This window comes from Homo sapiens, chromosome 20 (assembly GCF_000001405.40).
Source record: "Homo sapiens chromosome 20, GRCh38.p14 Primary Assembly".
NCBI classification, from domain to species: Eukaryota; Metazoa; Chordata; class Mammalia; order Primates; family Hominidae; genus Homo; species Homo sapiens.
In genome coordinates this window covers 4,729,914-4,755,220 of record NC_000020.11, presented here as the reverse complement: position 1 = coordinate 4,755,220, position 25,307 = coordinate 4,729,914, and the positions used below count along the sequence as shown (strand labels likewise).

At 43.7% G+C, this 25,307-nt stretch overlaps 1 long non-coding RNA gene and 1 pseudogene across 3 annotated transcripts, besides 1 other annotated feature; both read left to right on the top strand.

Moving 5' to 3' along the window:
- Positions 6,064 to 6,358: a silencer, noted in NCBI's record as "tiled region #7998; K562 Repressive non-DNase unmatched - State 24:Quies". NCBI's record gives its function as "represses a minimal TATA promoter and a strong SV40 promoter by Sharpr-MPRA in K562 cells {active_cell/tissue: K562}" and the evidence as "EXISTENCE:reporter gene assay evidence [ECO:0000049][PMID:27701403]".
- On the top strand, positions 14,553 to 23,939 carry PRNT (prion locus lncRNA, testis expressed). Of its 3 annotated transcripts, none has more exons than NR_024269.1 (2): positions 14,553 to 14,621; positions 22,136 to 23,939. It is a non-coding gene; the product is annotated as a prion locus lncRNA, testis expressed (long non-coding RNA). The 3 variants fall into 3 exon arrangements; NR_024268.1 differs by having other exon boundaries at positions 14,553 to 14,844; NR_024267.1 differs by having other exon boundaries at positions 14,553 to 15,081.
- Positions 18,927 to 19,612, top strand: IDI1P3 (IDI1 pseudogene 3; annotated as a pseudogene).
- Positions 23,940 to 25,307: the final 1,368 nt, after the last annotated feature.

The following is a 25,307-nucleotide window of genomic DNA, read 5'->3' as shown; positions in this document are numbered from 1 at the left end:
ACTCCATCTCAGAGGAAAAAAAGAAAGAAAGAAAGAAAGAAAGAAAGAAAGAAAGAAAGAAAGAAAGAAAGAAAGAAAGAAAGAAAAGAAAGAAAGGGCATCCAGACTGGTAAAGAGGAAGTCAAACTGTCACTATTTGCCAATTATATGATTGTTTATCTTGAAAACCCTAAGGACTCCTCTAGAAAGCTCTTAGAACTGATAAAATAATTTAGCAACGTTTCCAGATACAAGATTAATGTATACAAATCAGTAGCCCTTCTATACATCAACAGGGACCAAGCAGATAATCAAATCAAGAACTTGACCCCTTTTACAATAGCTGCAAAAAAAAAAAATACTTAGGAATATACCTAACATAGGACTCAAAAGACCTCTGCAAGGAAAACTACAAAACACTGCTGAGAGAAATCATAGATGACACAAACAAATGGAAACACATTCCATGCTCATAGATGGGTAGAATCAATATTGTGAAAATGACCATACTACCAGAAGTAATCTACAAATTCAACTCAATCGGCATCAAATAGCACCATCATTCTTCACAGAATTAGAAAAAACAATTCTAAAATTCATATGGAACCAAAAAAGAGCACACATAGCCAAAGTAAGACTAAGCAAAAAGAACAAATCTGGAGGCATCACACTACCTGATTTCAAACTATACTCTAAGGCCATAGTCACCAAAACAGCGTGGTACTGGCATAAAAATAGGCACATAGACCAATAGAATAGAATAAAGAACCCAGAAATAAACCCAAATACTTACACCAACTGGTTGTCGACAAAGCAAACAAAAACATGCAGTGGGGAAAGGACACCCTTTTCAACAAATGGTGTTGGGATAATTGGCAAGCCATTTGTAGGAGAATGAAACTGGATCCCTATCTCTCACTTTATACAAAAATCAACTCAAGATGGATTAAGGACTTAAACCTAAGATCTGAAACTATAAAAATTCTAGAAGATAACATTGGAAAAACCCTTCTAGACACTGGCTTAGGCAAGTATTTCATGACCAAGAACCCAAAAGCAAATGCAATAAAAACAGAGATAAATAGCTGGGACCTAACTAAACTAAAGAGCGTTTGCACAGCAAAAGGAACAGTCAGCAGAGTAAACAGACAACCCACAGAGTGGGAAAAAACAATCTATACATCTGACAAAGGACTAATATCCAGAATCTACAATGAACTCAAACAAATCAGTAAGAAAAAAACATGGCCAAGGACATGAATAGACAATTCTCAAAAGAAGATATACAACTGGCCAGCAAACATGTAAAAAAATGCTCAATATCACTAATGATCAGGGAAATGCAAATAAAAACCACAGAGCAATACCACCTTACTCCTGCAAGAATGGCCATAATAAAAAAATCAAAAAAACAGTAGTGTTGGTGTGAATGCAGCGATCAGGAAACACTTCTACACTGCTGGTGGGAATGTAAACTAGTACAGCCACTATGGAAAACAGTGTGGAGATTCCTTAAAGAGCTAAAAGTAGAACTACCATTTGATCCAGCAATCCCACTACTGGGTATCTACCCAGAGGAAAAGAAGTCATTCTTCGAAACAGATACTTGTACACGTATTTTTAAAGCAGCACAATTCACAATTGCAAAATCGTGGAACCAACCCAAATGCCTATTAATCAATGAGTGGATAAAGAAACCGTAGTACATATATATGATGGAATACTACACAGCCATAAGAAGGAATGAATTAACAGCATTTGCAGTGACCTGGATGAGATTGGAGACTATTATTCTAAGTGATGTAACTCAGGAATGGAAAATCAAACATCGTATGTTCTCATTGATATGTGGGAGCTAAGCTGTGAGGACGAAAAGGCAAAAGAATAATATAATGGACTTTGAGGACTTGGGTGGAAGAGTGGGAGGTGGGTGAGGGATAAAAGGCTACAAATATGGTGCAGTGTATACTGCTCACGTGATGGTTGCACCACTCACAAATCACCACTAAAAAACTTAATCATGTAATGGCCGGGTGTGGTGGCTCACACCTGTAATCCCAGCACTTTGGGAAATCAAGGAGGGTGGATCATGAGGTCAGGGTTCGAGACCAACCTGACCAACATGGTGAAACCCCATCTCTACTAAAGATACAAAAATTAGCTGGGCGTGGTGGCAGGCACCTGTAGTCCCAGCTACTCAGGAGGCTGAGGCAGGAGAATGGCATGAACCCGGGAGGCGGAGGTTGCAGTGAGCCGAGATCGCACCACTGCACTCCAGCCTGGGTGACACAGTGAGACTCCGTCTCAAAAAAAAAAAAACAAAAAAAAAAACTTCCTCGTGTAACCAAACACCACCTGTACCCCAATACCCCAATAACTTATGGAAAAATGAAAATTTAAAAAATGCGTGTATTTTTATTTTTATTTTTATTTTGAGAGACATGGTCTCTCTCTGTCACTCAAGATGGAGTGCAGTGGAGTGATCATAGTTTACTGCAGCCTTGGACTCCTAGGCTCAGCCTTGAACTCCTGGGCTCAGCCTTGAACTCCTAGGCTCAGCCTTGAACTCCTGGGATCAGGTGATCCTCCTGCCTCAGTGTCCCAAAGTGCTGGGATTTCAGGTGTGAGCCATTGCCCCTGATCTAAATGCATCTAAAATAATTTAGAGAAGTGCCTTGGTGGGGACCATGCAAGTGGCAGAAATGATTATTTTTTTCAGTATTTTTTTCAGTTTTACTTAGACTAAAACTGTCACAAAAATCCTAAGAGGCTTAAGCGTGAGTGCAAAAAAAAAAAAAAAAAAAAAAAAAGATGAAGATAGTCCTGTTACACAAGTGCAAGAGGGTGAGAAGATGAACCATTAAAATGAATGATATTTAAAAGTACATGTATGTAATGTTATACATAAGCATCAGCACATATTGAGAATGCTCACTGAGTGGGTGTCCAACCTGAAAAGTTTGGAGAACACTGCTTCTGAACCTGGATGAGGACCAGCGAGCCTCAGCACAGGTGTGGGCTTCCTTTTGCTCCTCTCCTTTGATTTACTCTACTGCCCTTTGGGTTGGTAAGGACCTCAGAGGTCAACAGCCTTGTCCAAAGTTACACTGGTGCTCATTGGCCAAGCCAGGACTCTTCACTCCAAAGGCAGCTCCCAGCTGCTTTCCTGTCTGCCCCATTCTTCTTGGAGGTATGAAGAGGGACCCCAACAACCTTTGCACCTTGTCCACTGGTTACCTTCTGCAGCCCCCACCCCCTTAAAGAATAAGCAGGTTTTGGACAAGGGGAATTTGGAGCTGGGTCCTGCTCTGAATTTCATCAGTTCTGTTGTGTCCATAGTAGAGAATGCCTCACATGGTCCTTGTCCCAGTCAGGGCCATGTTCATGGGCTTTTTCTTCTGCCCTGGATTGGGAAGTGGCTGTTGTAGTCCTTAGGACCATGTCCAAGCAATTGCTAACAAGTAGGTGTGAAGTTGCCCATTGATTAATAAAAGACTCCATCGTTAAGCAAAAGTTTGTCTATATCTGAGTCCATATTCAACAAAAGCCATATCTGAGTCCAGGTGCAGTGGTTCATGCCTGTAATCCCAGTGCTTTGGGAGGCCGAAGTGGGCGGATCACCTAAGTTCAGAAATTTGAGACCAGCCTGGCCAACATGGTGAAACCCCATCTCTACTAAAAATACAAAAATCAGCTGTGTGTGGTGGTGGGCGCCTGTAATCCCAGCTACTTGGGAGGCTGAGGCAGGGGAATCACTTGAGCTCAGGAGGCAGATGTTGCAGTGAGCCGAGATCACACCACTGCACTCCAGCTTGGGCAACAGAGCTAAAAAATAATAATAATAAAAAAATTAAAAAGCCATATCTGAAAAGCCAATTGCTGTCATGATGGTTTTATAGGACAATTGTCATCTAGAGGTAACACATGGGCTTCCAGTCTAGGAGTTCATTCAATGTATAATAAAGGGCCCCAACCATGTTGGCTCATGCCTGTAATGCCAGCAGTTTGAGAGGTGGAGGTAGGAGGATTGCTTGAGCCCAGAAGTTCAAGGTTTCAGTAAGCCGTGTTTGCGGCAGTGCACTCCAGCCTGAGTAAAAGAGTGAGACTCTGTCTCTAAAAAAAACACAACAAAACAAAAGTATAATAAGGGACTTGTTGAGCATCTGTCACATGTCAGGTACTGTTCTAGGTGCTGTGGATACCAGGTTCCTGCTTGCTCATTCTAGTGGAGAGTGGAGAAACAAAAATATTCATCATGAATCACAAATCGTGGCAGTTGAATGACTGCCCACATTTTTTTATCCATCCTCCCTGTGGACACAGGCCTGCCTGGCCTCACTATGGATGGAGGGCATTTCCCCACTCTTTGAGTTTGGGCTTGATCACAAGGATATGCTTTGGCCCATAAAATGTGGTAGAAAGGATGTTGTGTCTGTTTTGAGCCTAGGCCTTGAGAGAGCCTAGGCCTTGAGAGAGTTCACATCTTTCTGCTTGCTCTATTGTTCCTCTGTTATTACCATGAGAAAAACGGGCCCAGTCTCATCCCAGCAGGAGGTTGAGAGACATGTGGAACAGAACGGCCTCCCCTGACCCACAGCCCTTCCATGAGGAGCACAGGTGCCCAGCTGAACCCCAGCCAACCTGCAGTTGTGAGTGATAATGAATGCCTGTTGTTTTTAACCATGGAGTTTTGAGGTGGCTTGTTACACAGCGATAGCTGACTGATACAAGAAGAGAATGGCGAACTGGAAACAGATAATGATGCAGTAGCAGAAGGAGCCTACTTTAGAGAGAATGGCCTGGAGAAGCCTGGTGAGGAGCTGACATTTAGGCTGAGATCTGAAGTTTGAGAAGGAGCTTGTCACGTAATGCAGGGAAGGGAGTGGAAACAGACAAAGGTCCTGAGGCTAGAAGGAACTTGTTGTGTTTCAGGAACTGACAGAGAAACTGCATGGCTGAAACAGAGTTTGTCAGGGAAATAGGGGTCTAGTGACCTTGTAGAAAGGCACAGGGCTTTTGAAGCCAGTGCAAGAGTTTGGATTCTATTTAGGTACAATGGGAAGTTTTTGAAAAGTTTTAAGGAGAGAGGGTGAGTCAGATTTTAGACTTTTAATAGATTATTTCTGTTCCTGTGAATGGAAGCAGGAACATCAGTTAGGAGGCTGTCGTAGACATCCAGATGAAAGATGATGGTAGTGAGTAGAAGTTGCTGAGAACTGGATTAATAATGCATTTTTGAGTGGGTATCATAGGATCTCAAGATTTCTGGCTTGGAGCGTGATGGAAAACTATGTCAGTTACCAATTCCTTTCCCCCAAAAAGCCATCCCTGGAAATCTAATGGAGAGAAAGGAAGGTAGATGGTGGGTTGGGCATGTGGCATTTGACTGTGAGCACACATACTGCATCAGTGCAGTAACTCATATTGTGGAGCACTCACTATGTTCTAAGCACTGCATTAAACACTTGGCATTCTCATACCAACTCCATGAAGCAGGTCAAGATCTCTACCTTACAGATCAGGAAACAGAGAGACCACGAGGATAAGTGACTTTCTCAAAGTCACACACAGCTGGTAAGAGAAGCAAAGTGTTCTGGGGCCTGGCACAGTCTCTGTCATGGCCATGCCCCAGAGGAGTGCCTCAGGTATCTGAATGGTGTTGCAGTTTGCCGTTGCAAGGCTTTCAGTTCTGAGCAATGGCCCCCAGTACTGTGGCACCAGAGCTTGGATACCTGGATGCTCAAGGCCCCTGAGTCCCTCTCGTGTGTAGGCTCATGGCATAAACCTTTCGGAGTCCTTGTCTACATATTCCTGGCCCCAACTTGCAAGCTTAGCTTTGCTCCCAGCTATGGATGGTGGCTGATGCACTTAAGAAACCTCTTTCTTGGTTAACACATGATTCCCCAGACTTAACATCTGCTTTTCAACAAGAGTTTTAAAGCAAATGGAAAAAAAATCTTGTCTTTTGGACCCAAAGTTTTAAGTCCCCTTTGAGATCTGGGAAGTCAAATTCTCGGGCTAGTGCCTGGTTTGATGGTGACGGGCATGGGAGTCTCTTGCATTTTTTAGGCATATTCCCGGGAATGGCTTTCTTCCCCCACTCCAACACAATGAGCTCTCAGGCCAGCTGTAACATCTCTCCAGGGGTCCTCTGATTTTCCTCCTTCTCTTTGTTCAGTCAGTTTCCTTTCCTGCCAGCTCCCATTCTTCCCACCAGCAGGAAGAGAGGACAAAACCCGGAGCCAAAGCTTCCTTCAGCTGGCCCGCACCATGCCCTGGACAGCTCTGAGACATGCAGAGAACAATGGAGCCCTGGAGAGCCTGGGGCCGGCTTCCTCTGGACAATCTTCATCCTCACCTGATGTTTTTGCTGAAGTCACTTTGCTCTCATGGAAAGGTGTTGGCAGTTGTGCCTTGGGGGGTGAGGTTTCCCTGTGTCCATATGGAGAGGGACCTTGTGTGCTAAGAAAGGGGAGGAAAGTTCGTGAACTTGAAATTCTCAGTATACTGCATCCCTGGTTCTTCGATCCCCCAAACAAGAGGGCAGAGCTCAAGGCCAGCCAGGTCTTGCCTTTCCCTGGCCTGTACCTAGAGACGAAGGTCCCGGCCCATATGGCCTCAGCCCAGGCTGGAGGCCAGTGCAGAGGCTCCTGCCTCTCTCTGCCTGAGTTCTTTCTCTGGTGTGCTTGGAGCCACCCTTACCCTGTGAGGCAGGGCTGTTGGTCAATAAAGGCTCCAGCTCCCTTGCTACTTGGTGGGCAGATTCTGAGGTGTGTCCTGTGGTGTCTCAGTGGGTCCCCAGGGTGGGTGGCACAGTGCTCCTCCCCACACTTCCCATCTCCCTTCTCCCTTCCCCATGTGCTCCCATGCAAAGCACTTGCATTCAAATCCTTGTCTCAGGCTGTGCTTCTGGGGAAAACCCAATCTTGGAAAAGTGCTGCTAGAGATCTTGTTTCTACTGGTAGTTATAGAGGGCAGGGGATGGTCATTTTGAGTGACAAGAACAAGTTGAACATCATAGAGATTTCCTTCAAGAATGAACAAAGCGTGGCTGGGGACAGTGGCTCATGCCTATAATCCCAGCACTGACTGGGAGGCTGAGGCGGGCGAGTCCCTTGAACCCAGGAGTTTGAGACCACCCTGGGCAACATAGTGAGACCCCATTTCTACAAAAGACAAGGAAAGAAAGAAAAAAGAGCAAAGTAGTTTGTAGCTCCAGTGGAACAGCCTGCTTCTTGCTTTTTAAATTTTTATTGAAGTATCACTTCCATGCAAGGAAGCGCACACATTTTAACTGTATAATTCAGTGAAATTTTCCATGTGTCTATGACTAGGTAGCTACCACCTGGAACAGGATGCATTTTGAACACCCTTGAAGTCTTCCTTGTTTCTCTTCCGAGATGAGGACCATCCTCTACCAGTATTTGAGCTTCCATCTCTATGGATTAGCTTTGCCTTCTCTTGAATTTCATTCAATGAAATTTTGGTTTTCTGGGGCCACTGTAACACATAACCACAAAGCATGTGGCTTAAAACAACCGAAACTGATGCTTTCAGAATTCTGGAGTTTGGAAGTCTGAAATCAAGGGGTCAGCAGGGCTGTGCTTCCCCTGAAGGGTCTAGGGGAGGATCCTTTCCTGCCTCTTCCTAGCTCCTGGTGGCTCCTGGCAGTCCTGGGTGTACCTTGACTTGTAGTGAAATCATTCTCCAATATCTGTCTCCATTATCACATGGCCTCATTCTCTGTGTCCTCTCCTCTTGTTATAAGAACCCCATTCATTAGATTCAGGACACATCCTAATTCAGGGTGGCCTCATCTTAATTTAGTTACATCTGCAAAGACCCCACTTCCAAGTACAGTCCCAATCTGAGATTCTAGGTGGATGTGAGTTTTGGGGAGATGCTATTCAACACCCTATGGAAATCATACAGCGCATGCCCTTGTGTCTGGCTTCTTTGGCATCATGTGTGGGCTCATCCATGCTATTGCACGGGGCAGCTGTTCACTCCTTTTCTTCCTGTGGAGTGTTCCATTGAGTGTCTATGCCACAAATTATGCATTTAGCCTGCTGTTGATGGACTTCACCTTGTTTCCAAAACGCGGCTATGATGACAGACCTGCTGTGGACATTGTTGTCTGTCTTTGGGTTGACCTAACACCCTTTCCCATAGGTCTTTACCTAGGACTGGAGCTGACAGCCTGTCTTTGCAGGTTGGTAATTAAACTCTGCAGGATTTTGGGGCTCCATTAGCCATTTCTGTCAGTGGGTGGAGGGAGAATCCACGTTGGGTGCATATTTGAATGAGCTGTTCCTCCCAGACTCCTGACTGGTGAAGGTCAGGGGAGGGGACTCCGGGCAGCTCCAGATCCCACTTGATCGTTCAGCATCTGAGGAAGACGCCCAGAGAAGGAGCCTCTCCCAGAGCTGCAGTGAGCCCTTTTCAGCAGGGGCAACTGGGCCCTCTCCTTAGCCAGGCGTGGCTGAGGTCTTATGGGAACCTGCAGTGCCTCACTGAGAGGAGAAGGTGCCCTAGATGTTCTCTTCCTAAAAGGATGTGGTAAATAGAACAACTTGGGGACTGAGCAGTCAGCGGGACTGGCGTCTTGACCAATAAGTAGAAAACATGATTGCAGACTCCAGTCTGGGTGACAGAGTGGGGCCTTCTCTCAATAAAATAAAATAAAATAAAATAAAATAAAATAAAATAAAATAAAATAAAATAAAATGCAAATGCTATAAAATTCACCCTCATAAAGTGTGCAATTCAGTGGTTTTTGGTATATTCACAGAGTTGTACAATCATCACTCTCTGATTCCAGACCTTTTTCATCACCCTGGAAATAAATCCCATATCTATTAACAGTCCCTCTCCAATTCCTCTCTTCCCTCTGGGAAGTAGATTGGAAACCACTAAGCTACTTTCTGTCTCTATGGATTTGCTTATTCTGGACATTTTATATAAATGGAATCATCCAGTATATGGTTCTTTGTGTCTGTTTTTTTTCACTTGTCTTAATGCTTTCAAGATTTACCCATTTTTCATTTCCCTTTATGCCTGAATAACATTCCATTGTATAGATAGACCACATTTTGTTTATCATCCTCCTGTTTTAATGTTCCCCTTTGAAATCTGGTCTCCACACGTGCAGCAGGTACAATCAATGACTCTCATTTTGTAGTAATTATTCCATCTTCAAAAACTCACCTATTTCCTCTTTTTAACGTATGTGTTAACTGATACAGAGCAGATATAAAGTGCACACATCTCAAGTGAGAAGGTTGCTAAGTTTTGACACATGTCTATACCTGAATGACCACCAGCCAGATGCAGACATAGAATATTTCATCTTCCCACTGGGCTCTCAAGCCTCCTCCAAGGCCATATCATCTGCCTGTACCTCCTTCCCAAGGAAACCACTATTCTAGTTTCTATCACCTTAGATTAGCTCTGCCTACCCTTAAACCTCATAGACATGGAGCTGTACAATATATCATTTTTTGCATGACATTTTTGCTTAGCAATCAACCCATGAGATTCACTCATGCCGTGTGTGGTAATAGTCTCTTCTTTTTGGTTGCTGTGTAGTAGTCCATTGTATGGCTATGCCACCATTTAGCTACTCTTCTATCCATGGACATTTGAGTTACTTGTAGCTATTGTGAATAAGGTGGATATGAACATTTTTGCATGTATCATTTGGGAGCCATAAGCTCTCACGTCTGTTGAGTATTTACTGAGAAGTAGAATTGGTGGGCCATAAAATGAGCATGTTTAGTTTGAATAGATACTGCCCAGTTGTTTTCCAAAGTGAGCTGTGCCAATCCCACCAATAGTGCATGGGAGCTGTAGTTGTGCTACATCCTCATCAATGTTGGTGTCAGTCATCCTGGTACATAGTAGCATCTGGGTATAGTTTTAATTTGCATTTAACTGATGATGAGTGAGATTAGGCACCTTCTTATGTGCTTATTGGCATTTAGATAGCCACCCGTTACTTTTGAGTCATAGTTTCCTTTACAATGGGGCAAAGGGATCACGCCTTTCTTTTTCTCTTAGTTTCCTTAAAAATTCACCCTTGTCAATTTATACTTAATTACACAAGTATTGTATGGATACATTTTCATTGTTTCTTCACACCCTTGCTAACATTGGATATCACCAGACCTTTAAAGTGAGAAGAGAAATCAGTCTTACTGGTATTTTAATGGAATGTGCATTTCTCCAATTATTAGTGAGATTAAGTATTTTTTCTTATGTTTTTTGGACACTTGTATTTCTTCCATGTATTGCCTTTTCACATCCTTTGCCAATTTTTAAAATCAGGTTATTTCTCTTCCTCATTGATTCTGGAAGTTTTTTATACAGTCTATATAGGAATCTGTTATCTGTTATATATTGTAAATACTTTCTTTTCTTCTGTTGATTGTATTTTTATGTATTTATTTATTTTTTTCACATAGGGTCTCACTTTTTGGCTCAGGCTGGAGTGCAGTGCATTAAACAATAAGCTCTAATTCCTCCCCCTCCCAGCCCCTTGTAACTTCTATTCTATTTACTGTCTTTAAGAATTTGCCTATTCGAGCTACCTCATATAAATGGAATCATACAATATTTGTCCTTTTGTGGATATTAATCTTTTCATTTATTTATAGATTCTTTGTTTTTGTTTTTGAGACAGGGTCTTGCTCTGTTACCCAGGCTGGAGTGCAGTGGTACGATCATGGCTCACTGCAGCCTTGGCCTCCTGGACCCCAGCAATCCTCCCACCTCAGCCTCCTGAGTAGTTGGGACCACAGATATACACCACAATACCTGATTAATTTTTAAAATTTTTTGTAGAGACAGGGTCTCCCCCCATTGCCCAGGCTGGCCTAAAACTCCTTGGGCTCAAGTGGTCCTCCCACAGTGTTGGGATTACAGGCCTGAGTCACTGCACCTGGCCTTGATTGTATTTTTAAAAGACTTTTTTTTGTTTAGAACTGTTTCAAACTTACAGAAAAATTGAGAAGATAGTACAGGGTGTTCCCATATACCCATGGCCAATGTTCCCTTTGTTAACATCTTGCACGAGTAGGGCACATTTGTTAGAAGGAATGAACCAGCACTGATACATGATCATCGTGTCTCCTTGGGCTCCTCTAGCTGTGACAGTTTCTTAGACTTTCCTTGTTTTTGGTGACCTTGATAGTTTTGAGAAGTACCGCTCAGATATTTTCCCAAATGCCTATTTATTAAATTTGTCTAATGTTTTTCTCTTGACTTGACTGGGGTTATGAGTTTTTGAGAGGAAGTCCACAGAAGTAAAGTGCTGCTTTCCTCACATCACATCAGAAGTACATATGATCAACATGATTGATCACCACTGATGTTGACCTTCATCACCTGGCTGAGGTCGTATGTGTCAGGGTCCTCCACTCTAAGGTTACTCTTCTCCCCCATTCCATACTGTCCTCTTAGGAAGGAAGTCACTATGCTTACTCCACATTTAATGAGTCAGGAGTTATGCCTCACCCCCTTGAGGCAGAGTATCTGCATAAATTATTTGAAATTTATCAGTCCAAGGGACTTGTCTCTCCTCCCCCATTTATTAATTTATTCAATCATTTATTTGCAATAGTGAGGACTCAGGGGTATTTATTTTATACTTTGAATGATAATCCAGCACTGCTTTATTTTGTTGCTCAAATTGTTCCAGCTTTGGCCGTTGGGAGCACTCTCAGTTGGCTCCTGTGTTTCTTTGATGTAGCTCCATTAATATGCATTTGTTTTTTGATTGTTTTTGAGTGCCTCCTTATTTTCTGGCACTACAAAATACTCCAGGCTCCTCTTGCATATTTCTGTCAGAGGCATAGAATTGGCCATTTCTCCAAGGAGCCCTGGTACCTTTCACTGGAGAGTGTTATTAGAAACCAAGGTCTGGGTGCTAGGTATGCTTTTTGCTACTGGGGTGCTGTTTCTTTTAGTCCTTCTCAGATGACAGAGCAAGGAAATATTCATGTGTATACTAACCTGTGAATATCACATATCTATACATATTTCTATATGGAATCTTCTGCCCCTGTATTAAGCTAGACATGAGTTCATACTGATGCCTCCAACTCCGCTCTGTTACCAAGTGGATCATTCTAGCCTCCTCCCCTGGCTTATCTGTAAACTTGCATTCCAACAGTGAGCAACCTGGCTTCTACCATCCGCCATTTGTTTAATTAATTTTCGATTTCAGTATGCACGTATCAGAATTGTTAATGCATATCCCCATGAGAACAAACTTTATTAAATAGAGTAAGGTACAAAACTCATATGAGAGAAGAGGCCTTGGTGACTGACCATAGATGGGGTTATCTTAGCCTGCTTGTGTTGTTATAAAAGAATACTTAAGGCTTGGTAATGTATAAAGAAAATAGGTTTACTTGGTTCATGGTTCTGCAGACTGTACAAAAAGCATAGGACCAATACCTGCTTCTGATGAGGGCCTCCGGCTGCTTCTACTCATGGTGGAAGGGAAAGGTGAACCACTGTGGGCAGATCACATGGGGAGAGAGGAGGCAAGAGGAGGGAGGAGGAGGTTCTACACTCTTCAACAACTAGCTCTTGAGGGAACTAAGAGTGAGAACTCACTCCCATGAGGATGGCAGCAAGCCATTCATGAGAGATATACTCCCATGACCCAAACCTCCCAGTGGGCCCTACCTCTGACATTGGGGATGAAATTTCAACATGATATTGTCTTTGGAGGGGAGGCCAAATATCCAAACCATAGCAATGAATCTTATTTGCAGCTGGCCTGTGTTGGTTCAGTGCTTAACTCCAGTGGTATTTGGGAGTCTGGTAAAGACCCTCAGCCAAAATATTAATTGATTGTTCTTGCTGGTGATTTATAAGATGCTGTTTAAAGTCCAGAACTCCCTGGGAGGCATGCTTCAGCAGTATGTCTATATTATTTCTTAAACATATGTAGATTGATGATTTGCATTTGGTTTACATGTTTACCCAGCCTGATTTAAGCTACGTAATGAGTGGGGTATACAAAATCCCTCTGTAAGCTGTGCCTTAGCTTCCCAAGACCAAGGGATTACACACATATCAAGAAGAAAGTGCTCTTTCTCATGATATAGAAATATTTCTTCATGTTACTGATAATGCAATAAAGTGTATATGCTTCTGAGTGATTTGCTAATGTGTATGTCAGCAACACATTCAGTATCCAGAATGGCTTGAAGTTATGCCTTCAGGGCCAAAAATAACATAATGTTAAATTCTGTAGATTCAATAACAGAATTTATTAAGAAATCTGCACTGTGAGGTAAATGATTAAACACTGACTCTTTCTCAACATTAGATAATTCTTTTTATTCATCAGAGAAATGTGATTTATGACACATTTAAAAGCATGTTTAAGGCCGGGCATGGTGGTGTATACCTGTAGTCTCAATTACGTGGGAGGCTAGGGTGGGAGGATTGCTTGAGCCTAGTAGTTCTAGGCTTCAGTGCGCCATGATCACACCTGTGAATAGCCACTGCACTCCAGCCTGGGCAACATAGCAAGATCCCATCTCTAAAAAGAAATTTTGTTTTAAAGCATGTTTAAAACATACATACACCAGCCTGGCCAACATAGTGAAACCCTGCCTCTACCAAAAATACAAAAATTAGCTGGGCGTGGTGGCACGTGCCTGTAATCTCAGCTACTCGGGAGGCTCAGGCAGGAGAATTCCTTGAACCCGGGAGACAGAGGTTGTGGTGAGCTGAAATTGTGCCACTGTGCTCCAGCCTGAGCAACAGAGGGAGACTCTGTCTCAAAAAACAAACAAACAAACAACAAAAAAACCATACATAGAAATGTTCCAGTAGAATACAAAGAACCACTTTCTAGAACTGAATGCACCAGAGAGGATTAGAAACCCACTTATTCTCTCCCAGCTTCAAGTATTTAACGTTCCTACTTTTGCACGTGGCAGCCTTGCTGACTCAGATCCGAGGGCGTTGAAAGACAGATTCACAATTTCTGGTCCATATTTGATGCAAATATTTAGAACTATCTAGCAGAGCTTGCTGCCTTTCCAACAATCCAGTTAGTGAATTGAGAATGTTCTCATTTAATAGAAATGAAAGGTAAACGAAGGATCCACCTGGCCATGGGACTGGAGGAATGACCCAAGCCATGCTTCATAGAGGCACAGATAGACACCCTCAGGGAAGCCGAGACCCTTTGAAAAAAGGGCCTGGTGTGTGTATTTTCACACTGCCCCCTGCTGGCTGACACTGGAACATTGATTCTTCCTGCTGACACTGGAACATTGATTCTCCTGTGGCTCTAAGACGACCTAACAGGATGAGGCCAGCGGGCCCCCCGCAAGGAAACTTGAGCTAGAGGCAGTTGGATTTGGCTGAGACGCTCTCCTCAGGGAAGGCCAGGTCTGGGAGTGGGTTTGAACAGCAGTGGAGAAATAACTTCCATAGGGCATGTCAGAGTAAGTTCTAGTGTTTCCAAGAGAATGGGACAGGATCTTAGTGGAATTTAGAAGCCAGGCAGGTGGAAAAGCATTGAGGACCCCATCCCAAGGGCTCGAGTCCCTAGAGACAGCCTGGAAAGATTGGGTGCCAGCTGCAGAGAGGAGAGCAAGGCGACCAAACGCAGGGTAAGGTCTGGAGGTGCTCATAGTTCACTACGGGACATGTACATGGAAGTGAATAATTATGTCACAAGGTGCCAAGGGGGCTAGTTACCTCACATAGGATCTTAGAAAAGGTCTCCTGGAGACCATGTCTGAGCTGGTCCTGAGGTGTGAGTAGGGATTCTCCGCAGGGCGGGGAAGGACTTGAAAGAGTCTGGCAATATGGAGCACATCAGGATTATGGAAGGTGAGCTTGGAGAACAAGGCAGAGTCTAGCCTGTGAAAGGCCTCTTGCAATTTGTTGAGGATCCATGACCTTCTCCCATGCATGGTGAAATGCCCTTAAAGGATTTTGAATAGATTTAAAAGACACTCAAAAACAAAAAACGGTAGATTCAAAATAGACGGTAGGGATCGCTTTCTTCCGTTTTCTTTGAAGGATCAGAAGTGTTTACCACCACCTGGATTGTTTTTGGGCTTTCAGGTGAGTGGGAAAACAAAGAAATTCATGCCTGATCATGTTGAGCCACTTATATAATGTTGCTTTGACACTAATGGAGATGTAACTTCTTTTAAGACATAATAGAATCTCCTAAGTGGGTGTGGGAGTCGTAAGAAGGAGGAATCTGGGCTTCTACAAGCAAGATAGCATGTATTCATTTATTCAGTCAGTCAGTCGCTGGATCGATGCGCTTAGCTTTGTGCTCTGTGCTGGGTGCTGTGTGGGATATAAAAGAAGGTGAGGCCGGGTGCGGTGGCTCATGCCTGTAATCCCAGCACTTTGGGAGGCCAAGGCAGGTAAATCATGAGGTCAGGAGATCGAGACCGTCCTGGCCAACATGGTGAAACCCTGTCTCTACTAAAAATACAAAAATTAGCTGGGCGTGGTGGTGTGTGCCTGTAATTCAGCTGCCTGGGAGGCTGAGGCAGGAGAATAGCTTGAACCAGGGAGTCGGAGGTTGCAGTGAGCAGAGATTGCACCACCGCACTCCAGCCTGGCAACAGACGAGACTCCGTCTCAAAAAAAAAAAAAAAAAAAAGAAGCTGAAATTCCAGCTCTTATCCCCCAAGGAATCTGTACATCTGTACTCTGCTTGGGAATCCACAGAAGAAGGAAAGAATGCCAGCAAAGTAAGATCATGCTGCATGACCTCAAGATAGATGTTAAGGACATTTTGATGGGATAAAGGGAATCTTTGCTAGTTCAGAGATGAGCTTTACTGGCTTTGAGCTAAGTGATAGACATAAGTGGGTGGAGTGCAACTGGGGAGAATTTCAGGCCTGGGTAAGGGCCAAGTGTGAATGGATGGTCTCATGTAGGAAGCCATCAGGATAGGCATAGCAAATCCAGGAGTCCTCTAACGATGGAAGGAAGACCTTTGCTGATGTAGGAATCGCATTGCAGGTCAGTACTCCTCAGTGAACCTGGAGACCCTGTTGCTTCCTGTTCCCTACCTCAAGGCACTCAGTCTTACAACTTTGGGCTACCTCTCTGAGACAGTAGACTCTGGAGATACTAGCCATATCTTCATCTTTAACATTCACTCAAGATGAGCTGATAAAGCACCTCTTTCATGAAATAGCCCTATAATTTCTATGATTAGAAGTTGAAACTACTCTCATCACATCTTTTGATGTTTATATGAACACTCTTCTGTTAAAAAAAAGATTGCCCTAGTTTTTAGGGCTAATATTAGATGTTTCTGGCATATTCTTTACAAAGCCTTCAAACTAAGTTATGGTATAATATTTGCAATTAGAAAAACAAATACCCAAGGCATGTTTAGAGGTATTTATATGTTTTCTGGTGTCAATTGGAGGTGGAGAGGCCACCAGTGCTCTGAATCCACAAGCTAAGATGAGCTACTTGTTAGGCTTGGCTGTTTGGAATTGTCTGTTCTTTGCAAAAAGCAGACGAAATGAAGTTATGGTAGTTAGTGGGATGAGTGGGCCACCCAGAAAAGTCAAAGTTCAGGTTGGACTCATTTTCTCATGTATTTAAGTGTCTTTGCCATTTGTTTACCTTCTCCTGTGCCTCCACCTCTCATCATTAGGAGATGGGACCAGCATGCTCGGAAGCCCACTCAGCCTATGCACTCAGCAGGTTGGAACTATTAGGGAAGTATAGCCTTTGGGAGCTGTCCTTAACCAATGATGGACAGATCTTGGTGTATAAATTCCCCAGCTCCCTCGCCCTGCAGGCAGCATAACCCTGAGGAATATGTTCTACTCTGGCATCCAGGGGCCTCCCAAGCAGAGTGAAGCTCCGGTTGCCCATGCAATAAACATGCTAACACAGCCTTTTTGGGCTACCTTCCCTTCCCTTTTTCCATTCCCCACTTGCAGCATTTGCAGGGATCACCTCCCGAATAAACCACTTGTACATGAATCCTTGACTTGGCATCTAGTTCTTGGTGAATCCAGCCTCAGGCAATGAGTAACTCACATAGAGACGGCCTGCTATCTAAGTATAAGCGAAGATGAAGGAAGACTCTATTTTCTTTGGACCTGATCAAGTTTATTTACAATCTTCATTTTATTTTTATTATTTATTTATTTATTTATTTACTTATTTATTTATTTATTTAATTGAGACTGAGACTTGCTCTGTTGCCCAGGCTGGAGTGCAGTGGTGTGATCTCGGCTCACTGCAACCTCCACCTCCCAGATTCAAGTGATTCTCCTGCCTCAGCCTCCGGAGTAGCTGAAATTACAGGTGTGTGCCACTACACCCAGCTAATTTTTTGTATTTTTGTATTTTTATGGGGTTTCACCATGTTGGACAGGCTTGTCTCGAACTCCTGCCCTCAAGTGATCCACCAACCTTGGCCTCCCAAAGTGCTGGGATTACAGATGTGAGCCACCACGCCCGGCCTACAATCTCGATGTTAGACTTCACTTATTTTCTTCTGCTCTGTAACCCAGTGTGGACTGCAGTGGTGCAATCATAGTTCACTGCAGCCTCAAATTCCTGGGCTCAAGCAATCCTCCTGCCTCAGCCTTCTGATTAGCTGGGACTACAGGCATATGCCACCACACCCAGCTAATGTATTTTTATTTTTTGTAGAGATGAGGTCCCACTATGTTGCCCAAATATCCAGCCCTAAAAGATAAAATCCTGGTTTCTGCCAAAAACCTTGATGATGTTCTGTTTTCTTTCACCGAATTCAACATGTTTTCACGTAGAACAGTTTCAAACACACGTTTCATAGAAGCTCAGAAAAGACATTTTTGGGCCCAGTGGGCACTCACAGAAAGATACAAATATCCAGCCCTAAAAGCTAAAAGTAAGGTTTGTGCCAAAACACTTGATGACGTACTGTTTTCTTTCGCCGAATTCAACATGTTTTCACGCAGAATAGTTTTCAAACAAATGTTTTGTAAATGCTTAACAAAGACGTTTTTGAGCCTAATAGACTCATAAAATGATACAAATATCAAGGCCTAAAAGCTCATAGAAAGCCTTGGGCTTACAGAGCTAGAAAGAGATAACAAGTTCTTCCCATGCCACACAGCCCAGTGCAGGTTTATCAGGGAACCTTTTTCTGCTCCATTCTCTCACTTTTTCCTGGACTCTGCCCAAGTCTCATTTCTAATGTCCTAGGACCAGCTATGTGTCTGCCTTTGAGTCCCCATAGCAAATCCCCAAGTTCCTTTTGCACCTCTGATGTTTCCCTATCACTGTAGACTGTGGACTTTCCAGAGCAGGACGTTCTAGGATTTTTGCAAATCTCATTATACATAATTCCCCTTGCCAATCTCATTATACATGATTCCCCTCTAAAATTCAGTAAAGCTTGATTAGAAAACACACATGGCCACTCTTTAGGTCTTGACCATATACTCCAGGGGCAGCCATTTATAAAGCTCCCAAGGCACACCTGAGCCCAGCACTGATGCCACCCTTGTGCCAGGCCTGTCTTTTAGGGCAGATCAGACATCCTGTGACCATGCCTCAGACAGGCATTGGACATCTCCAAGAGCAACAAGTTCAACTCCTCATAGACCAGTGTATTCTTTTTACAAATTCATTATTTATTTATTTTTTAGAGTCAGGGTCTTGCCCTGTGACCCAGGCCAGAGTGCAGTGGTGTGATCATGGTTCACTGCAGCCTTGACCTCCTGGGCTCAAGTGATCCTTCTGCCTCAGTTTCCTGATTAGCTGAGATTACAGGCATGCACCACCACACTCAATGAATTTTTAAAATTTTTGCAGAGACAGGATCTCGCTATGTTGCCCAGGCTGGTCACAAACTCCTGGCCTCAAACGATCCTCCCACTTTGGCCTCTCAAAATGTTGGGATGACAGGTGTGAACCATTGTGCACCACAGAGAAGTGTATTCTTATTGATGAAAATGACAGTAATATTGGAACTGAGACCAAGAAGAATTGTCACGAGAATGAAAACATTGGGAATGGATTATTGCATCAAGCTCTTAGTGTCTTCTTACTCAACACCAAAATGAGCTACAGTGACAGCAGAGATCAGATGCTGAAATTACCTTTCGAGCCAGTTTCACCAATACTTGGTTGTAGTCATCCATTAAGTAATCCAGACAAGCTTGAGAGAAATGATGTCATTGACATAAGTTGAGTAGCACAGAGGCATCTAAAAGCTGAATTAGGAATTCCCATGGAAGAGGCTCCTCCAGAAGAAACCTATTATCTAATATCAACTTGCAGCGAAGTCCAATCTGATGGCATCTGGGGAGAACATAAAACTGATTATATTTTGTTTGTGAGGAAGAACATAACTTCGAATTCAGATCCCAGTGAGATAAAAAGCTATTTTCTGTGTGTCAAAGGAAGAGCTAGAACTTCTGAGAAAAGTAGTCATTGGTGAAATTAAAATAACACCATGATTTCAAGTTATTATAGAGACTTTTCTCTTTAAATGGTGGGATAACTTAAGTCATTTGAATCAGTTTATTGACCATGAAAAATATATAGGATGTGGATGTGGAGATAAATGATTAATAAAGTACTGAAAACTTTCTCTACTTAACCTTAGAATAGGCTGGGCACAGTGGCTCACGCCTTGTAATCCCAGTAATTTGGAAGGCTGGGGCAGGCGGATCGCTTGAGCCCAGGAGGTCGAGACCAACCTGGGCAACATGGTGAAACCCTGTCTTTACTAAAAATACAAAAAATTATCTGGGCATGGTGGTGCATGTCTGTGGTCCCAGTTAGTCAGGAGGCTGACGCGGGAAGATCGCTTGATCCTGGGAGGTCGAGGCTACATTGAACCATGATCATGCCACTGCACTCCAGCCTGGATGATAGAATGAGATCCTGTCAAAAAAAAAAAGACTGGCCATGGCGGCTCATGACTATAATCCCAGCACTTTGGGAGGCCGAGGTGGGTGGATCACCTGAGGTCAGGAGATCGAGACCAACCTGGCCAACATGGTGAAACCCTGTCTCTCTAAAAATACAAAAAATTAGCCAGGCATGGTGGCGGGTGCCTGTAATCCCAGCTACTTGGGAGGCTGAGGCAGGAGAATTGCTTGAACCCGAGAGACGGAGGTTGCTATGAGCCAAGGTCATGCCACTGCAACTCCAGCCTGGGCGACAGAGTGAGACTCCGTCTCAAAAAATAAAAAACAAACAAACAAAAAACCATAAAACCCCCAAAACTTAGAATAATTTGAAAAAAAGTTGGCTCCCAATTAGAATACTCATATGCCATCTTGATACTTTACATGTGTGAAAAACACATTTGCTTTCTCTTGTATCACACATACTATATATATGCACTGATATTTGTAAAAGTCATGTATAAGAGATCATTGTAAAAAAGAGAGAACAAATAAAAACTAATTTAACTGTCCAAACACATGTTCATGACAAGTTTGGACAAGTAGGTAAAGCTCTTCACTTTTCACATGTTGCAACAAACATTTTGAGAACATTTGTAGAGTGCTTTTCTATTTCCCAGGTGCTTTATATATAATTTAATTTTTGTCATAGTTCAGAAAAGTGTTCAAAGGAAACTATGTGCTTAGCTAACTCAAAACAGTTCTAATTAACTTTCCATATTAATAGATTAGACTGGTAGAGCAGATTCAAGAACAATTAAATGGTATATAAATAATATGTCCCAATTTCTATCTTTCTAAGCTGACTTTGTGGTTTAATCATTCTGGAAGTATCACTTGATACTTAAAGTCAACCATTGCTTTTGGTAATGACATTGGTTAGGTTAAACATTCTTTTAAGCAGTATATGCAAATTAGTCAAGTCTGTGTTTTCAGAATTACATTGAACAGAGAGGCTATTCATAAAATGGGAATTGAGTTGCACTTTACAACAGGGTTTCTTAACCTTGGCATGGTTGACATTTGGGCTGCATATTCCTTTGTTATGGGGTTCCATTCTATGCATTGTAGGATGTTTAGCAGCATCCTTAGGTTCTACTCAGTGAATGCCATTATCTCCTCCGCCCCGATGACAACAAAAATTACATCAGATATTTCCAAATATTCCCAGGGAGGCAAAGTCACCAGTAGTTGAGAACCACTGTTCTGCAAAGTCAAGCCATCTTGTAGGGAAAAAAAAAAAATAACAGAAAGAAAGGCTAGTGTTCATGTTAAACAGATTCAGATTATGAAATATGTATATATCAATATTTAAAATTTAGCCTTGATTAATGCACTTTTAAAAACTTGGTATAGCTAGATTTCTCAAATTTTAAATCTGAACACAGCTTTATTATCCTTAAAGGTTATATAATAATGTGTAATGAGAAAAAAATATATATCTGTTTCTTTTAAAGCTGAATGTTTTATAGATTCAATAGAATAACTCATGCTTTGCTAACCCTGAACAGTTAATTTATAATTTCAGGAGAAACTGCATAGCAAGTATTTATTTTATTGAAAAGGAAAAACAATAAAAATTACTACATAAAAAAATAAAGCTACTGAAATAGATCTTCCCCTAAAATAAATGACTTCACTCTGGAACAGGACTGAGTGACATTAAGCATGACTTTGCCCAATTCTGTAAAGCCAAGTCATGCTGCACAAGCTGGCACACAGAGGCCTGAGAAGATGTCCTGGAGTAGGAAGAATCCTGGGGGCTCCACATCCACCTTGGGAGGAGAAACAAGTGAGACAGGTGGTGAGGACAAGAAGCCTGACAAAAAGCGGAACCCAAATGGGATCCCTCAAGCTCATCAACATGCCAGATTTAACTCATTCTTTTTTTTTTGAGAAGGGTCTTGCTCTGTTGCCCAGGCTGGAGTGCAACAGCAGGATCATGGCTCACTGCAGCCTTGACCTCCTGGGCTCAAGCGATCCTCCCATTTCAGCTTTCCAAGTAGCTGGGACTACAGGTGCATATCACCACGCCTGGCTGAGTTTTTATTTCTTGTAGAGACAGGGTCTCGCCATGTTGCCCAGGCTGGTCTCGAACTGCTGGGTAAAGTGGTCCTTCCGTCTTAGCCTCCCAAAGTGTTTGGATAAGAGGCATGAGCCACCGCACCTAACCTAGACTTAACTCTTAACCTTCTTTTTCTCTTCCATTGCTCCTGCAGCTGTGGCTGCCTGCAGCCCATCCTGCCCCCAGCACCTAGAGTCATCTTTAGAAATGCAAGCCTGATCGTGGAATCCACCTTCCTAACACCCTTCAGTGCCCTCCTCTTCGTTACACCCTTACTATACAAACGATAGTCCATGGACCAGCAGCATCAACATAACCAGGGAGCTTGTTAGAAATGTAGAATCTGGTCCATCCCAAACCTGACGAAGCAGAAGCTGCATTTTGCCAAGATCCCAGGGAATTTGTGTGCCCGTTATGGTTTGCGAAGTGCTTCCCAAGAGAACATACGGCAAGCCAGAGGGATCTTTGCAGATCTTGCTCCTTTCATTCTCTGGCCTCATCTTGTCGCTCTCCTCCATCCGTGCCCACATCCCCACTGTACTGGACCGCTTGCAGCTCCTTGAATGCAGCATAGTCTTGTTTTCTTTTTTGCAGTGATTCTACATCTTTCCCATCTTCTCCACCTGGATGCCTCCATCCATCCTTTCAGACTTCCCTTCTCTAGCAAACCTTTCTTGCTAATTCCCATGTCTAACACAACACTTCCCCATACTGCATGGCCATTATCCTTTCTGCATCAGACTGTGAGCACCTTGAAGGCAGTGGCAGTGACTCATTCATTGTGGCATCTGCAGATTCCAGTGGACTGCCAGGCATGCAATAGAAAATCAAAAAAGATTTACTGCTAAATAATCCTCAACTCCAGTGGCAGCTCCATGTGCCATTTCTCTTCCGCTCTGGCCTCGGCTCTTCCTGTGCCTACCTGGGGCTTGGCTTTCACCTAGGTGTCTGCATGGAAGGGAGAGCGACCTGGAGGACCATCGCCAATCCATCAATAGCCTCCCGGTTGAGATGACTTCAGCTCTGATTTGGAAGAGCTATGATATTGTTTATAGGAGTGAATTAATATGTGTAAAGGTTACAAAGTAAACAGTTAAATTAAATTAATTGTGCTGGAGCAGGTCAAACAGGCTTCTGAGAGATGAACATACACATCTCTATTAACTCCACATTCAGTGAGTGTGGGTAACTTGAAATTGGCTGGGTCACCATTTACATCATAGAAATTGGCAAATAGTACAAATTAGGGCTCCCTCACCCCTACTCGGGCATAGAGCTGGTACACTAGCACACCTCTGGTTATACATGCATGCGTGTGCCACCAGAACAAAACACCTAACAGCAGGCACGTTGCCTCTGTTGCCCACCATTACAGCTCCCGCACGGAGCAGACAGACTCATGGCAGGAATTGAATGCATGTTTGTCGAGTGGAAGCATGAACAAATCCACAAAATGCCCAAGATGAGGCAAAGAAGGACATTGGCTCAAATGTTAAACATAAGTTAGGAGCTGAGATAATGCCCAGAGGAAAAATGTTCTGTAATTCTAAGTAAAACCCATCTCTAAGGCAGGATGCTGCTTATGAGGGCTCCACAGACAGATGGGGGAGGCCTGGGTCCTGCCCTTGGAAAGAGTCTGACAGCTCGACTTCTGGAAACAGCCATCTGCACAGGTCAACATCTTCTTAGCTGACAGGGAGCAGATTTGCAGACCACATCACATTTGAAATTCCAGAAGAAACTTCTTGGAGTCTGCTCTTGTGCAAATGAGCCTAGAAAGCCCGTTAACTTTGGGTGGAGGCTTCCACTGTTTGGCTATCCCAAGTGGGCCCAAAGCTAAGGAAAACCCACCAGCCCTTTGCTTCCTGCTTCCTCTATTTGTTTGCCCCAGGAAATCAGAGGTGATGACATGATTTGGCTTGGGCACGACAGGAATAAACGATATTTAAGAGACGTCATAAGCGCCTCCATTTTGTTCTTGATTGCTAAGTAGCCCCGAACCAAAACAGCCAATTAAAAAAATTAGAATCTTAATTACAGATTTCGAAATTCCAGCACACCACAACCGACATGGCTTGCACCTAGCCGGGACCCTGCCTGCACCTTACCCTCTGCTTCGTTCTTGAAAATCCCTCTCCTTGGTGCTGAATGTTATTTTTTTGAGCATGGAGCCCCTGGTTGCAAAACACCCTTCCCTGCTGGATGCTGGTGTCACCTCTGATAAGCCTGTGCATGTAATTCTCCCTTGGACACGGGGTGTATGGAAGGTCTCCTCCCCGCAACCAGTACCTCCCCTCTCCCTCCCCACCACCCACCTCCCACCATCAAGGGAGGGCAGCTGTGTGAGTTCATGTGGCCTTGAACTGCCTGCTTCCAGCTTCCTCTAGTTCCTCTCTGGCCTTCTGCCAATTTCCTTCGACAGATTATAGCCAAACCTGTTGGAGTCAAAACAATTTGCATTGTTTAAGAAAGCAATGCTTTCTCACAAAAGGGTTTGCATTAAAACAAGATCTGGGAATCCCCAGGACGGATGGGAGGGCGGGAGGGGCGGATGGAGGGATGAAGTTCAGTTTAGGGTACAGGGCATCTTGGAGGAGGCAGTGACACTTGCTAGAAATGTAGAATCTGGGACTCAGCGGGGTGGCTCACGCCTGTGATCCCAGCCTTTGGGAGGCCGAGGCAGGCGGGTCACCTGAGGTCCGGAGTTCGAGACTAGGCTGACCAACATGGACAGACCCCTGTCTCTACTAAAAATACAAAATTAGCCTGGCGTGGTGGTGCATGCCTATAATCCCAGCTACTCAGGAGGCTGGGGCAGTAGAATCGCTTGAATCTGGGAGGCAGAGGTTGTGGTGAGCCGAGATGACACCATTGCACTCCAGCCTGGGCAACAAGACTGAAACTCTGACTCAAAAAAAAAAAAAAAGAAAAAAGAAAAGAAAAGGAACGTACAATCTGGTCCACCCCAAACCTGCTGAAGCAGAAGGTACATTTCACCAAGATTCCAGGGAATTTGTGTGCCCATTACAGTTCAGTCCAGGGAACAGGGATGACACTTGAGTATTGGAGGATGAGCTCTTTTGGGGGGTCAGCTTTGTGCTGACCAGGAAGATCCCTTTAGAAGGGGCATGGTCAGTGCATGGGGCTCATTTCAGTCTAAGGCCTCTCATCCAATGCCAGAGGAGCACATTCTCCACCCTCTGTTTGGGGTCTGGGGCTCACTGTGGGAGGGAGGCCTCGGGGCTTTAGTGCTCTGGGGGTGGAATCTCGGTCGCTTCCCCGTGCATGCTCCTGCTCCAAAGTGAGGCTCCCTAAAGCCACGGGCC